The 14,587-nt window shown below is 41.4% G+C and overlaps 1 protein-coding gene across 4 annotated transcripts in view, besides 1 other annotated feature; it reads right to left on the bottom strand.

Annotated features, from left to right (window-relative positions):
* Window positions 1-14,587, bottom strand: part of GRHL2 (grainyhead like transcription factor 2) — a 188,762-nt gene that overhangs the window by 15,270 nt on the left and 158,905 nt on the right. For all 4 annotated transcript variants that reach the window (NM_001440447.1, NM_001330593.2, NM_024915.4 and 1 more), the window contains exon 15: window positions 1,413-1,477. In NM_001440447.1, coding sequence (NP_001427376.1) covers window positions 1,413-1,477 — 65 coding nt within the window. The remainder of the gene's footprint in view (window positions 1-1,412; window positions 1,478-14,587) is intronic.
* Window positions 8,988-9,848: an enhancer, noted in NCBI's record as "OCT4-NANOG hESC enhancer chr8:102668311-102669171 (GRCh37/hg19 assembly coordinates)". NCBI's record gives its function as "activates a minimal SCP1, AML or CMV promoter by ChIP-STARR-seq in naive and primed H9 embryonic stem cells {active_cell/tissue: H9 hESC(naive and primed)}" and the evidence as "EXISTENCE:reporter gene assay evidence [ECO:0000049][PMID:30033119]".

The following is a 14,587-nucleotide window of genomic DNA, read 5'->3' as shown; positions in this document are numbered from 1 at the left end:
TAACTATCCCTGATAGAGTTTTAAGAAAGCCAACAGCTTCCAGAGACTTCCATAATTTCCTTAAGCCAATTTCATGATTTGAAGTCAGACAGATGCTGGTTTGAGAATGAACCACTGACTGACTCTATCATTTTACAGTTATGTGTCAGCAGGCAAGCTGTTTAGCCTTTCAGAGCCTCAGTTTATCCTCCTGTAAAAATAAGAACAGTCACTTAGCTTTAACGGATTGTTTTTATGATAAAAACATTTAGCACAACACCTGATACAGAGCTTGATGAAAGCAAAATGTTATCATCAGCATGTACCTCTGCACTGAGGATTTCTGCTCGGCAATAAGACTGTGAGACACGACTGAAATCTCACTGTCAGTAATACACCCAGCCTACTACATTGACCTCGGCAAGAAGTATAACGTGCATTTTAGTGAATCTTCCAACAAGAGCTCAGGTGGAAAGGGTTTCCTGTCAGATCCTCCAATCAACCAACAGGACTCATCACTCAGAAAGCCTGAGCTTCCCAGATAATCCAATTTCCTTTATGAAAGTGATCCGGAGAAGAGTTGACTCATCTTCTGCCTTTTGTAGGAAAATACCCCAGAAGCTGAGTCAACAGATACCCTCTCCTGGCACTTCCACTAGCTCCTGTGGCCCCTACTCTTAGACCGTCACACATAGGAAGCCCACACAGAAAGTCAGACGGCAGAACGTGGAAGCTAAGCACTTGAGCTTTGAGGACACAGATGGGTTCAAATCTGTCCTCTACCTACTGAACATGAGACTTGGGCGACATGCTTAAGCCCCCTCTGGCTTGCTTTCTTCATCAATAAATCAGCGATAAGAGATTCCACCTCATAAAGTGGTGAGAACTAAATAGAGGAATACATGTAAAGTACTTAGGAAGGGACCCCAAACCTACTGAACACCCAGTAAATATGACCTGTTGTTCTTAACAATGAGAACACACAGGTCCAATGATCATTTGAGAACATTTTCTTGATAATTACCTTAGAGGAATCCCCTATGTTCCAAACCATTTTTTGTTCCTAGTATGCCACCCAGAAACCAACCCCAAGGGCCATACGTGATTCCCTATAAACTCCACTCCCTGCAGAAAGGTGATTTTGCCATTCTCCCCAGTGTCCACAGCACCTCCAGACCTCTGTGGTCTTCCTGCTTGTCTTGTCATTGAAATAGGCATCTCAGTTGACATAGTGCCAGTGCACTGCCTCCCTCCCTCCCTCTCTCCTAAAGATCTTCCAAATGCAATCTCCTCTGCAATTCTCTGGAAGAAGGACACAATTTTTATGAAAAGTGGGCAACAGACCTAACAAAAGACAGGCATCATTTTATTTTTAAGGCATCATGTGGATTTATCTGATTTGAAAGTCAATTTAAGTTCAGTTTCTTTCTTACCCTTTTTTGCTTTTCTTGTAAAGCTTTGCTATCTTCTCCACGGGCAGCCCATATTTCTCAGATATCTGTAATACCAATAACAAGAAGGCAGATGAGCACAGAAGGACGCCCAACTGGAGGCAAGGGGGAAAGTTCCAGTTTCACTCCCTTGGACATTTTCCCAGGGATAGAGTGCTCTTCACTCATGAGTCGAACTCTCAAAACACTCATTTATGAGCCTCTCCCTTTGGATAGACTTTAAATCATTCAACAAAAAACCCAGCCTCATGGGAATTCAATCTATGATAAAAGTAGCGTTCCAGGTCAGTCAGAAAAAGATGGACTGTAACTATGATGTTGGATGAAATAGTAGCCATCTAGAAAAAAATTTAACAAGTTATATTGGATTCCTTCTCCACTCCTTACACCAAAATACATTTGATACAGATCAAAGATTTACATGTGAAAGATGAAACCATAAAAGTAGAGGAAGAAACCATGAGTTAATTTTTTGGACAGCTGTCATCTTAAAGTAAGGAAGATCTTTCTAAGCAAGACATGAAACCTAAAGAAAAAGGTCGAAAGGTTAATAAAAACAACACAACTTTAAAAACGCAGTACAGAAAAAAAAAAACTAAAATGCTAAAGACAAAAAAATACACTGGGAAACATTTTTGCAACAGAAATGACAGACATGGAACTAACTTCCTTAAGTTAAAAAGAACTCCTGCAAATCAAGAAAAAGATCAGCAATTCAATGGGCAAAGGAAGAAAAATCCTGAAGAAGCAATTCACGGAAGAAAAATAATTGGACAATGAGCATATAAAAAAATGCACCACACAGTCATAATTTAAAATTTTCAAATTAAAGCAAAGTAGGATACTACTTTTATTTTTATTTATTTATTTATTTATTTATTTATTTTTTGAGATGGAATCTTGCTCTGGTTCCCAGGCTGGAGTGCAGTGGCATGATCTCGGCTCACTGCAACCTCTGCCTCCCAGGTTCAAGTGATTCTCCTGCCTCAGCCTCCTGAGTAGCTGGGACTACAGGTGAGTGCCACCACACCTGGCTAATTTTTGTATTTTTAGTAGAGATGGGGTTTCATCATGTTGGCCAGGCTGGTCTCGAACTCCTGACCTCGTGATCCACCCAGCTCGGCCTCCCAAAGTCCTGGGATTACAGACGTGAGCCACCACACCCGGCCTATTTTTCAAACTAACAAAAAACTAAAACTTGATAATACAGCATCAGCCAGAGTATGAGAAACAGCAGTTCTCATATTCCATATTGTTACTCTCAGATGCAAGAATAACATGCTCAACCTCTTGGAAAGAAATTTGGCAGAAGCTATTAAAATTTTTAATGCATATATCCTTTGACCCACATATTCCATATCTAGTAATCAGGTCTACAGAAATACCTTCAGATGCACACAAAGATTTTCAAAGCATCACTGTTTAGGATAGAGAAAACTGCGTATAACAAACATCCGTTAAACACATTTTGATAATTCACACTTAAAAATCATGCAGTCATCAAAAGAAATGTGGAAAGCCTACATGAATTCACATTAACAAAAATATTCTTAACATATTGAGGAGAAAATACCAAGTTGCAAAACTGTGTTTATGGTGTGATCCCACTTGTATTTTTAAATATATATATGTATATATATGTAAGTACATAGAGAATATTTGAAGGACCCACCAACATATTAGCAGGGACTACCACTGAAGAATGGACAGAAACAAGGAGATCCTTTTACTTTTTATTTTGAAAAATTCTGTTCTATTTATTTTTACAATCATTGTGTTTCACTTTTATAAATATAAAGTAGTAACAGTTTACAGATGGATTCGGGAAAGCCCTGCCCTAAATGTCTTTCATACCCTCTCTACTCCCAAATCAACTCTGTCTGCCCCTTCTGAGCCCAGCAGCTGGTGGGGCTCACAGGCAGCTGAGAAAGGTGAAGTTTGAAATGTGGATTATTGGAAAGTCTAGCAGAGGCTGGAAAGAGAGGCTGAAGAGGTCTAGAGCAGAGCTGGAGGAGCTTTGGATCCTAAGAAGAGTTCACTCTACAGAGACTCACAGATTCCCACCCTTCCATCTATCTCACCCCACGGGAAGAACTCCCCATCCCCTAATAAGGCCCAAAGGCATGGAACAGGTGAGCAGAGAGCTGGGCGAGCAGAAGGAGACTGGGACCAAGTAGCGGGCCTGACAGACATCACTAATCCATCACTGATGAGATTACCTCACAGTCACACCTGAGCCAAACGAGCCAAGGATGAAAAACAACACATCCAGTGGGGGCCTTTGAACTGCAAAGAAAATTGGCAGAACTTCTGTTGGAGGCATCAATTCGAACAGAACATAAAAGAGCACTTAAGAAAAACAGAAGACTTGTGGAGCACACGCATGCAAAATTCTGATATACAAATATGATTATTGATCTAAACATTTTTTGAAGTTGAGCAAATGAAAGGATAGGTGGTCAATTTAGCAATCTCAATAGTGTCAGAAAATATCAAGTCAAAAACAATTTCAAAGCGCAAAGCAAAAGGATAGAGCATAGATGGAAATCATGACGGAAAAGAAGAAAGACTTGAAAACATCCTGGAACTTCCTGGACAGAAATAGCAAGTTACCTCCAAAAAAGATAAGCCTGGCTTCAGTCTTCTCATCTCAACACTAGAAACCAAATGACAGTGGACAGGAACTCTTACAGACTACAGGAAAAAAGTATTTCACTCCATAAATCCCATACACCAACAAGCTATCTCTCACTTATCAGGGTGAAAGAGCAGTGTATTTCACCCAAATATCTCATTTGAAAAAATACAGTCGGCCCTCAGTATCTCCAGGTTCTGCATTCTTGGATTCAATCAGCCATGGATTGAAAATATTAGAAAAAATGAAAAATAAAAGTACAATGGCAAAAAGTAATATGAATCAAAACAATACAGTATAACAATTATTTGCATGGCCTTTACAATGTATTACGTATTATAAGTAATCTAGAGATTATTTAAAGTACATGGGAGGATGTGTGTGTGTTACAGGCAAATATCTATGCCATTTTACATGAGGGACTTGAGCATCTGTGGATTTGAGTTTGGGGGAGGTGTCCTGGAACTAGTCCTCCCCAGGACCTCAAGGGACCACTAGATTCACAAAAGAGCTCCATCCAAATAGCAAATGCATCCAAATGGAGACACCAAACTAGAGAAAAGGGGAAGGAAAAAAAGCCACCAGTGGCATGCTGTAAACTTGAGTATATATAGCAGAGGTGTCCAATCTTTTGGCTTCTCTGGGCCACATTGAAAGAAGAATTGTCTTGGGCCACACATAAAACACACTAACACTAATGATAGCTGATGGACTTTTTAAAAAAATTGCAAAAAAATATTCATAATGTTTTAAGAAAGTTTACGAATTTGTGTTGGGCCATATTCAAAGCTATCTTGGCCCACATGCAGCTTGCAGGCCGTGGGTTGGACAAGCTCGGCACATAGGGTTATGTGGACTGCAAATGTGAAATGTATGTGCTAAATATTCTTGAAGTAAAAAGGACAAAGAAAAATCTAATTGTTTTCTAGAAATAAAGCATTAAACTATTTTTGCAAAATCTGGAAGTTGGAAGTTGATGGGGAGAGGGTAGGCATTTCAACTGGCTAATTTTAGTGAGAGGAGGGAAGGCAAGGGAGAAAATACAGCTCTGAAGTCTCATCTCACAGAGGGAGGAGCGGAGCTGGAAGGCACTGGTGGAGAAAATAGTTGGAAGTTTATTTTCAAATAGTAGTGAAGAATTACTTCAGGAATTTGGAAAATTTAGGAAACGTAAATAATAATTTTCAAATTTAAAAGTTGAAATACAACAACTTAGAATCTGACTGCAAAACTAAAGAGAAAGTAAGAAGCCACAAAATGAAATAATAAACAAAAAGATGGAAGAAATACAATCAAGTGTATCAGTTATTACACCAAATGAGAATAAACTTCATTCTTCCAGCAAAAGCCAGAGTGTCTCAGTGAGTATAAAAGAAAATAAATAAATAAAGAGAAAGATAAAGAAAGAAGCCCAGCTATATGGTGTTTAAAAGAAAAGCACTGAAGACAATGTGGTGAGTGAAGGATGACTGATGGGTGACCATACCAATCAAATGCAAACAAGGCAAAAGAGGAGTGACAAGGTATAATTTAAGGTTGATGAGGTTAAGAATGGATATGATATAATGATATGATATATGGATATGAATGGATATATGATATAATGATAAAAAGCACTATTGACGGAGAAGCTACAGCAATCATAAAACTTTATGCATCTGATAACATGGCACTTAAGCAAAAATTATTATAGGTAATTGTTACAGATGTAATAACTTTTGCTTAAGTGCTTTGCTATTGCAAAATGAAAATGCAATTATTGTGGGAGATTCACTTGAAAACCTTGAAACAATGCAATTATAGTGAGAGATTTCAATAGACCTTTTTAAGAATTGAACAAATCTAGTAGATGGTTAGGTAAAAAAAAAAGTTTCCAGAAATGTTTAACCTCTTTGAAATACTTCTACGTAACCCTGGCTGTATAGCAGCTCACCATCTCTTTAGAATATCAAATTCCTTTAGCGACTCCTTGAGAAGATATTGTATCTGTCTAAATGAACACTAGAAAGTTTCCTTGAACATCTTAATGCTGTTAATGCTGTTTCCAAATCTGGCGAGACACTCAATAATGTACAGTTGACATAGCTTTCATCACTCCTCCCCCAAAACGCCGTTTTGAAGAATTTATGCTTTCTTTCTCTCTTCCTCCCATGCCTGGCATCTGCACTGTTTGTCATGTCTCCTGGTGGCCATACTTGCACATGCAAATTAAAAGGGAATTGCCAAGGGGAGCTGGTTCTGCATCCAGAGGGCTCTGAGCGAAGATTTGCTGAAGGGATGAAGGAAAAAGAACCCCAGACATAGCCAATTCTCAGGAGTCAGCTCACTACCTTCCCCATTCCCTGGGATTCTAGAATGACCCAGTTAACAGAGCTGGTGACTGGAAAAAATCCTTGAAGGACAACCTGCTTCCACATCATTTCTAGAGCTGCCATTTCCTCAGCATGGTTGATCTTAACCTGGGGGTCTACAGATGCCCAAACAGTATATATATGAACTTGGATGGGGAAAACATTCATCTTTATTTTCACTAACCTCAAACTGGAATGTAGCATTTTCTTCAAGTATGAACACAAAGTAACATTAGCAATACCTGTGTCTTTTTTAACAACGGAAATCACAGATATTTCATGTCATATTAGAATCCTGCAGATGTTCCAAAATGCTGATGACATTCATTCATCATACTTTGAAATTACAGTTGTTATTAGTCTCACCCATAGATCATATTTAATGCATGAATAAGGAGCACATGTTTCCTATATCATAAGCATGGTTTTTTATTATTTTGATGATAAATATCAATATAACCAGTTTCCTTTATAATCCTATGTATTTTATTTTATACATCTAAAAACATTATTCTGTAAAGGGTCCATATATTTCACCAGACTGCCAAAGGTATCCATGGCACAAAAAGGTAAGCACCCCGATAAACATTTTTCTGTGTATAAGAGCTTGTTGCATACTCGGAAGTCCTATAGATTACATTATTTGTACCTAACTACCATTCTGACTTCCTTGCCCTTCAAGAGTTGGTTTTTTTTGAACTTTGGTTAGGGTTACTTGGAACTTCTTTTTAAAATAAAATGGAAAAATAAAATAGGGACTTTTTTCCACTCAACATCAAGCAGCTTATATCTGTTAGTTCCCCCTGTTCCTAAAGAAAAGTGAATCTGATGCTTGGGTTTTCTCTTTTTGGGGGTTTGATTCCCAGCTCCCCAAAGCATGAAAGGGAACACCTCGGCTCACAAATCAACTGATGTAAGTCAGAACTGGGTAAGGGCATAAAATCTAGGGTAGCAGCGGCACCAGCCATAGCTAGCATTTATTGAGTCACTGGGTCCCCAGCACACAGGCATGTGGAGCTTTGCATCTATTCACTTGCTTAGTCCTCACATCATGACAATGGAATAAGTGCTTTTGTGAGCGCTGTCTCTCAGATTAGAGAACTGAGGCTTCCAGTCAGTAAGTAACTCACCCAGGATCCCTCAGCTAGTAAGTGGCAGAGACAGAATTTGAAAGGGAACAACCTGGCAGATGGCTTTAGATTCTCAACTGCTAGAGAAAATGGGCATATGTTGAGATGGTTTGGGGGCAAGACTCACAGACCCCATCCAGTACAAAGAAGCAACTGTACAAAGAAGCAACTGGCAGAAACCTCTGCCTCCAGGAGGGCAAAGTCCTGCTCTCAGTGCAACTCTCAGCATCAAAGGCAGCTTGCAAATGTGCCACCCTGGGACAGTGTTCCCTGCCTGCATGCACGTCAGGGAGATGCGCTTTGCCAAATTCAGAACCCTGGAAAGTGAGACCAGGCAGGATATCATCATTCAGAGGAAGCTGGCTGTCTGTCAGGGGTGGCAGAAAATTCCTTCTGCCCAGGGGCTGGATGAGATCACCCACACAACAATCCTTCCTTCTATGAATGGAAAACGTGTGGCACATGATCGTTCTGTCGGAACAGGGTGATTTGGAGTGCTTGGGTTTTTTTCTTTGTGTTTTTCTTTTTTTCTTTTTCTGTCTTTTTTTTTTTTGTTTCGCTCTGTCGCCCAGGCTAGAGTGCAGTGGCGGGATCTCCGCTCACTGCAAGCTCCGTCTCCTGGGTTCACACCATTCTCCTGCCTCAGCCTCCTGAGTAGCTGGGACTATAGGCGCCCGCCACCACACCCTGCTAATTTTTTGTATTTTTAGTAGAGACGGGGTTTCACCATGTTAGCCAGGATGGTCTCAATCTCCTGACCTCGTGATCCACCCGTCTCGGCCTCCCAGAGTGCTGGGATTACAGGCGTGAGCCACTACGCCCGGCCTTTTCTTTGTGTTTTTCAAGTTGTCTCAACTGAGCATGCATTTTTATAAAAAGTGCATTTTATAAAAAGTGCATTATCAATATTTGTAAAAACCCCAAAGACTTCCTTGACACCCAGGATGATTCTAGATCTTGGAGATATCTCATCAATATGTTATTGGTTGTCTGATGATCTATAATTTTTGGACTTATTTTGTGGAAAGTTCTCTTTGCCCAAAAACCTCATGTACATGATAGGCAGAAGGTACAGACCAATTCCAATTCAGCCAGCCTTCTCCAGAGGCATACAACAGAACTGCCTGCTCTGGAAGTCAATTACGTTTAATGATTTTTATGTGGAGTTATATGCTGTTCATTCACTGGGGGCGCTTAAGATATACATCAAAAAAGCAGTGGACTCTTGCTTGTAAATGCTGCCTAGGTGGCCGTGTTTGACATTTCAGGAGAACCAGGTATGATCCATGAATCGCCTCCACACATGAATGACACAGTTGGACAAAAACTGGGTGCTACTAAGGCCATGAGCGACCTTTTTCTTTGTAGACATCAGCTAGCTTCATTGAGAGAGAACATCCCTATCCCTTTCTCTAGCCTCTTCACCTTAGGGGAAACACAGTCTGCCTCTCCACCTCATAGCACTCACGGTCATTGCCTGTGTGTGTGTGTGTGTGTGTGTGTGTGTGTGTCTGTTAGACACATAAAATACACTAACAGACACACAGACAGACACATGAACACACACCCAGTATATATTAATTTATAATTTCTGTGTGTTACTTTAAGCACCATGTATACACACTCATTTATCCTCACAACAATCCTATATCCCATTTTATTATCCTCATAATATTATCTCATATTATTATTCTCATTTCAGAAGTGATGACACTGGAGTGTAGAGAGGTTGAGTAACTCGCCCAGCTCAGCTGTCTGACTACATGGGATCAACACCACACAGACTACTTCTTGCCTGATGGCTTAGTATTGCCTGATCTCTTTAGATGTGGTGAGCTGTGAATGGGAATGTTTATCCTTCTTGTGATAACTTTTCAGATGTAAATGTCTCCCTAATTGGGCTTAAGTTGCTTGAGGACTTAAGTTGGCTCTATCAATTTGTGGAGCTGTCAGCCCTTTGGAAACCACCCCCTCTGGACCTCAGTTTCTACATCTGTAAAGTAGTGATGATGCTATTTACCTGCCATGTTCATGGGGATATTATAAAAATCCAATGTAGCAGGGCATGTGAAGATCACACCACCCACAGCACTCAGTCTAGGGGTATACATACAGCAGATGCCCAATTCAGTCAACAAAACTTATGCTGAAGGCTCTGGGAATACACCACGGAAAAGAAACACAGCCCCTGATCTCATGAACTTGACATTCAACTGGGGAAGAGAGAAACAATAAACATGGAACAAATATAACTACGTCAAGTGGTGATAAGTGCTGTGAATGACAGAGAGCGATGAAGATGCTATTTACGTGGGTGGGCTGGGAAGGCCCATCTGATAAAGCAACATGTGAGCAGCGGCCTGGAAGAAGTGAGCCTTGTCCATATGGAGGAAGGACATTTCAGGCAGAGGGAACAGCAAGTGCAAAGGCCCTGAGGTATGAGTGGCCCTGCTGGCCTTGGGGATTAGCCAGAAGCTACAGTGGCCAGAGATGCTTTATTTGCAAGATTACTAGGTAAAAATCACTAGAAATGCAGATAAAAAGAATTGGAAACTCATCTCACTACCACCATCACCACCACCAAATTCCTTGTCTTTAAGGCAGTTTAAAACCTAATTATAACAATAAAGAAGCCAAATTGAATCATCAAAGTTATGTGGATGGCTTGATTGATGTAATACTAAATATGCAAATGAAAAGAAAAATAGTCTATATTCTCCAAATGATACCAAGTATGGGAATATTTAGTAACATCTGGCTGATGATAGAGAACTTTTTTTCTTGTTCTAGCTGGGTGTATAGATCTGTAGAGATAATGATTTTCTGGCAGGTGAAATGAAGGTCTGGGGGGTTTAGGACTACTGAATAAGAAGAATAATCCAGAAAAGTGACTCAGCTTGGCATAGATTAAGCCATAATTACATTCCTCTTTGTTGTGGTCAAGAGTTCTTTCCAAAACAGTAAGAGGTCAAGGGTAGTACAAACAAAACTATTCTTCATGGTAGGCATTTTTCACATGTTGCAAGGAAGGAAACCAAACATTCAAAAATGGACGTACTCAAGACTACACAGTTATGATTTGAACCAAGTCAGTCAAGTTCCCCAGTCTACCCTCTCCTCTCATGCTGCTGCACTTGCATTTATGGCAGTGTCCTGACCTCACTCTTACAGGGAGACTTCCTTCTTCTTTTTTTTTTTTTTAGGATTGGAGTTTCGCTCTTGTTGCCCAGGCTGGAGTGCAATGGCGCAATCTTGGCTCACCGCAACCTCCGCCTCCCAGGTTCAAGGGATTCTCCTGCTTCAGCCTCCCGAGTAGCTGGCATTACAGGCATGCACCACCACACCTGGCTAATTTTGTATTTTCAGTAGAGACGGGGTTTCTCCATATTGGCCAGGCTGTTCTCGAACTCCCGACCTCAGGTGATCTGCCCGCCTCAACCTCCCAAAGTGTTGGGATTACAGGTGTGAGCCACTACCCCTGGCCTGGAGACTTCTTTAATGAAGACAAACTCAAAAATACTATCTCAAGGAAGAATATAATGTCTGCTGAGTATAAGAACAGCCCAATTTTTAAACAACAGAACTCCAACCTATCAAGTGGCTTAAATTACAGACTCCAGGAAACCCTTGTAGGCTGTAGGAACACTGTCACCATTGCCAAACTGTTCAACAAATCTGCCTGATGTGACACCTTCTGACTCAATCCTAAGTTGCTCGGAAGGAAGGGTGGCAACACTATTCTATCAAGATGACAAATCCACATTTCACCACCAATTGCCAAAAATTATTTTTTTTAAAGAAAACTCTTTGTTCGTTTTTTGGCTCCTTATTCTCCAGTTCAGACTTTCTTTTACACCTAAATAACACCTGGCTGAGGATAGGGAGTTGGGTGTTCAGTAGGGGCAATAACAGCAGGTTCTCCAATGGGAAGCAATCCAAATATCCCTAATGTGGAAATAGCTGCATCATCAACATCATTGCCATCATCTGCTCAGCTAAGATCTACTGACTATATGTGTTAAGCTCATTTAATGCTGTTGATGACTTCATTTTATAGATAAGGAAGTTGAGGCACAATCAACCTTTCAATAATTAGTCCAGGATGAGAGCAAAACAATGTGAATATTGATATGAAGCAGGTGTTTCTATTTCCAAAACAATTGCAAGACTCACACAAGGCATACTTTTACATTTGGAGTTGTGAATTCTGCTGGCCCTGGAAGACTATGAGTTCCTTTCTCAACAGAGAGCATTTAGTCTTCCCAAGCCCTTGATGAAGGTGGTAGCCTAGACCCAGGCCAATTCCTAAAATCCGCTGCGATGCGGTTATGAAATAATAGTCTGTAGGGCCACGTCTTGGTTTAAAACTACCTTCGCAGAATGTGCAACCAAAAGAGTGTCATAAGGTGACTTATTACCATCCTAAGTGAATAATGCATGTAGGACCTTAGGGCAGAATCAGACTCTAATACCAGTTCCCCGCCAAGGTACACACCAGCTAGTGGCTCTCACATTAATGGGCTTCAATTCAACCAGGAAGCTTGTTATCAGTGCTGATTCCCGGGCCTACCCCTATAGAATCTGATTCTGAAGATCATGGGTGGGGTTCTGGGATGGCATCTTTGTTTTTGTTTTTGTTTTTTTTTTGAGACAGAGTCACTCTCTCCCAGTCTGGAGTGTGGTGGCACAATCTCAGCTCACTGCGAACTCCGCCTCCTGTGTTCAAGTGATTCTCTTGCCCCAGCCTCTTAAGTGGCTGGGACTACAGCGCATGCCAGCACACTCAGCTAATTTTCTGGTAGAGACAGGGTTTCACCACGTTGGCCAGGCTGGTCTTGAGCTCCTGACCTCAAGTGATCCATCTGTGGGATGGCATCTTTGAAAGGTACCCCAGGTGATTCTGACGGGCCCAGTTAGATAAGCAATGCCCTAGGTCCACAGTAATGAGTAGGGGACTATGTTTGTGTTTATGGGAAGCCATTTTCAACCAGTGACAGAGTTCAAAGTGATGGCCTGAGGTCAAGCATAATATCTCTTGATTAATCACGTTTTCTTAAAAGTTAAGGTTTTTCCCTTTTCTACTCACTGAGCATTTTTTCTGTCTATATAACTTTCAGCTGTTAAAAACTATAAGCCCCCCCACAATGATATTATTTTGAAATTAAAAGTCAAAACAAAACATGGGGGCCAGGGTCACATTGCCTTCTTGTCTTGAGACTTTGTTTAATGTGGGGCTTTGGACTGTGGGGCATAAAGATCATTTCTTGGGAGCAGCTTTTTGCCTCTGGGCTCAGGAGAGAGGACCTCCCCACACAACTTCGGAGTTTCGGATGCAGATACCTGCACCATTTCCACAGCCCCATGCTGTGCCTCCTCCGAAATTTCAAATTCATAGGATATTACATAATGGAATCGAGCAAAAATAACATTCTGCCTTTTGGACAGTAGAAAAGGAGCACTTGAGAAATCCAAAATCTGAGGATTTCTACCCAAACAATGATTTAGTAACAAAGGCTAATTTAACTGTGGACTTGGTATATACCAGGGGCCAGGCAGAGTTTCAGATCTCTGTTGTCTCATTTGTTGTTGTCTCACAACAATCCCACGAGCTAGGTAGTATTATTATTTCCATTTTAACAATGAAGAAGAGGTTAAGAAACTTGTCCAGCTAGCAAGAGGCACAGCCAGAATTTGAACACAGGTTTTCTGAGGCCAAGCCCATATGCCGACCCCTAAGCTATACTGTCTGTATAGTACACACACACACACACCACACACACACACCACACACACACAGACACCACACACACCACACACACACCACCACACATACACACCACACACACACACACCACACACACACCACACACACACCACACACACACACCACACACATACACACATACCACACACACACCACACACACCAGACACACACCACACACACCAGACACACACACCACACACACACACCACACACACACCAGACACACACACACACCACACACACATCAGACACACACACACCACACACACCACACACATACACACACACCACACACACACGCACACACACTACCAATATACATTTGTATATACCAATATAGATATATAATATGTCATATTGTGTATATTTATATTATACACATGCATATTACCAATATACGAGGGTGCACTGGTGTCACTATGGTAAAGTGTCGTGCACTAGTAAGGCCCTGGTCTAAAGAGAACCCACACCCTGAAAGGAAACCCTTTCTTACCCCACCCAGATCCCAAATAAACTTAGGGTACAACTACAGTGAGCAGGAGCCACTGTTCTTGACAATTCTACCGCTTCATTTCACAGCATGCTTATGCCCTTGCTTACACGGAGCCTGCTGTCCTTCATGGCTGCCCCCAAGTTGCCGGGGCTGCTTTGTCATTCCAGACTGCATCACCCGAGGATCCTGGAGGAACTTCTCTTGCACAGCTTTCCCATTTGCATAACTTAGGAAGCAAGGAGATAGCCTGTGTTGGTGCTTCAATGAAACCTTTTCTTTTTAGACATAAAGGGGAGATGAAATCAGAATTGCCATAAGACATCTGACCAGAGCCAGCCTAGGGAACCTGACCTCTCTGTGGCTTACAGGGTCAAAGGATACATCCCCACCCCTCACACTGTACCTTCAGCTAACCAAAGTGAGGCAGGTGTAATGAGCTCCCACTAAAAGGGATCAACAGCCAGATGCTGCTGAGGCGGGGAGGGTAGGCAGAGGTTGCTGAGCTGCTGTTTAGGTGGGATCGAAGGTGACATTGAGTTCCACTGTGGTCCATTCCAACTGCATCCACAGAACACTTATAGAACTGGTCAGATGCCATGGAAGGTAAAGAAAAGACACCAAGGAAAAAGGAAGACTCGGAGTGTAATGAATCCATTCAGAAATGGTCTAGATCAGAGGTTCTCACACCTAGCTCATCTCAGAATATCCTCAGGAGCTCGTTAAAAATATAAGTTCCTGATCCCCACTTCCTCCCTTCCCTGATCTACCTGCAATTCAGAAGT

Source organism: Homo sapiens, chromosome 8, assembly GCF_000001405.40.
Source record: "Homo sapiens chromosome 8, GRCh38.p14 Primary Assembly".
NCBI lineage: Eukaryota > Metazoa > Chordata > Mammalia > Primates > Hominidae > Homo > Homo sapiens.
Note: the sequence above shows the minus strand (reverse complement) of the source record. Positions and strands in the feature narration are given on the sequence as shown.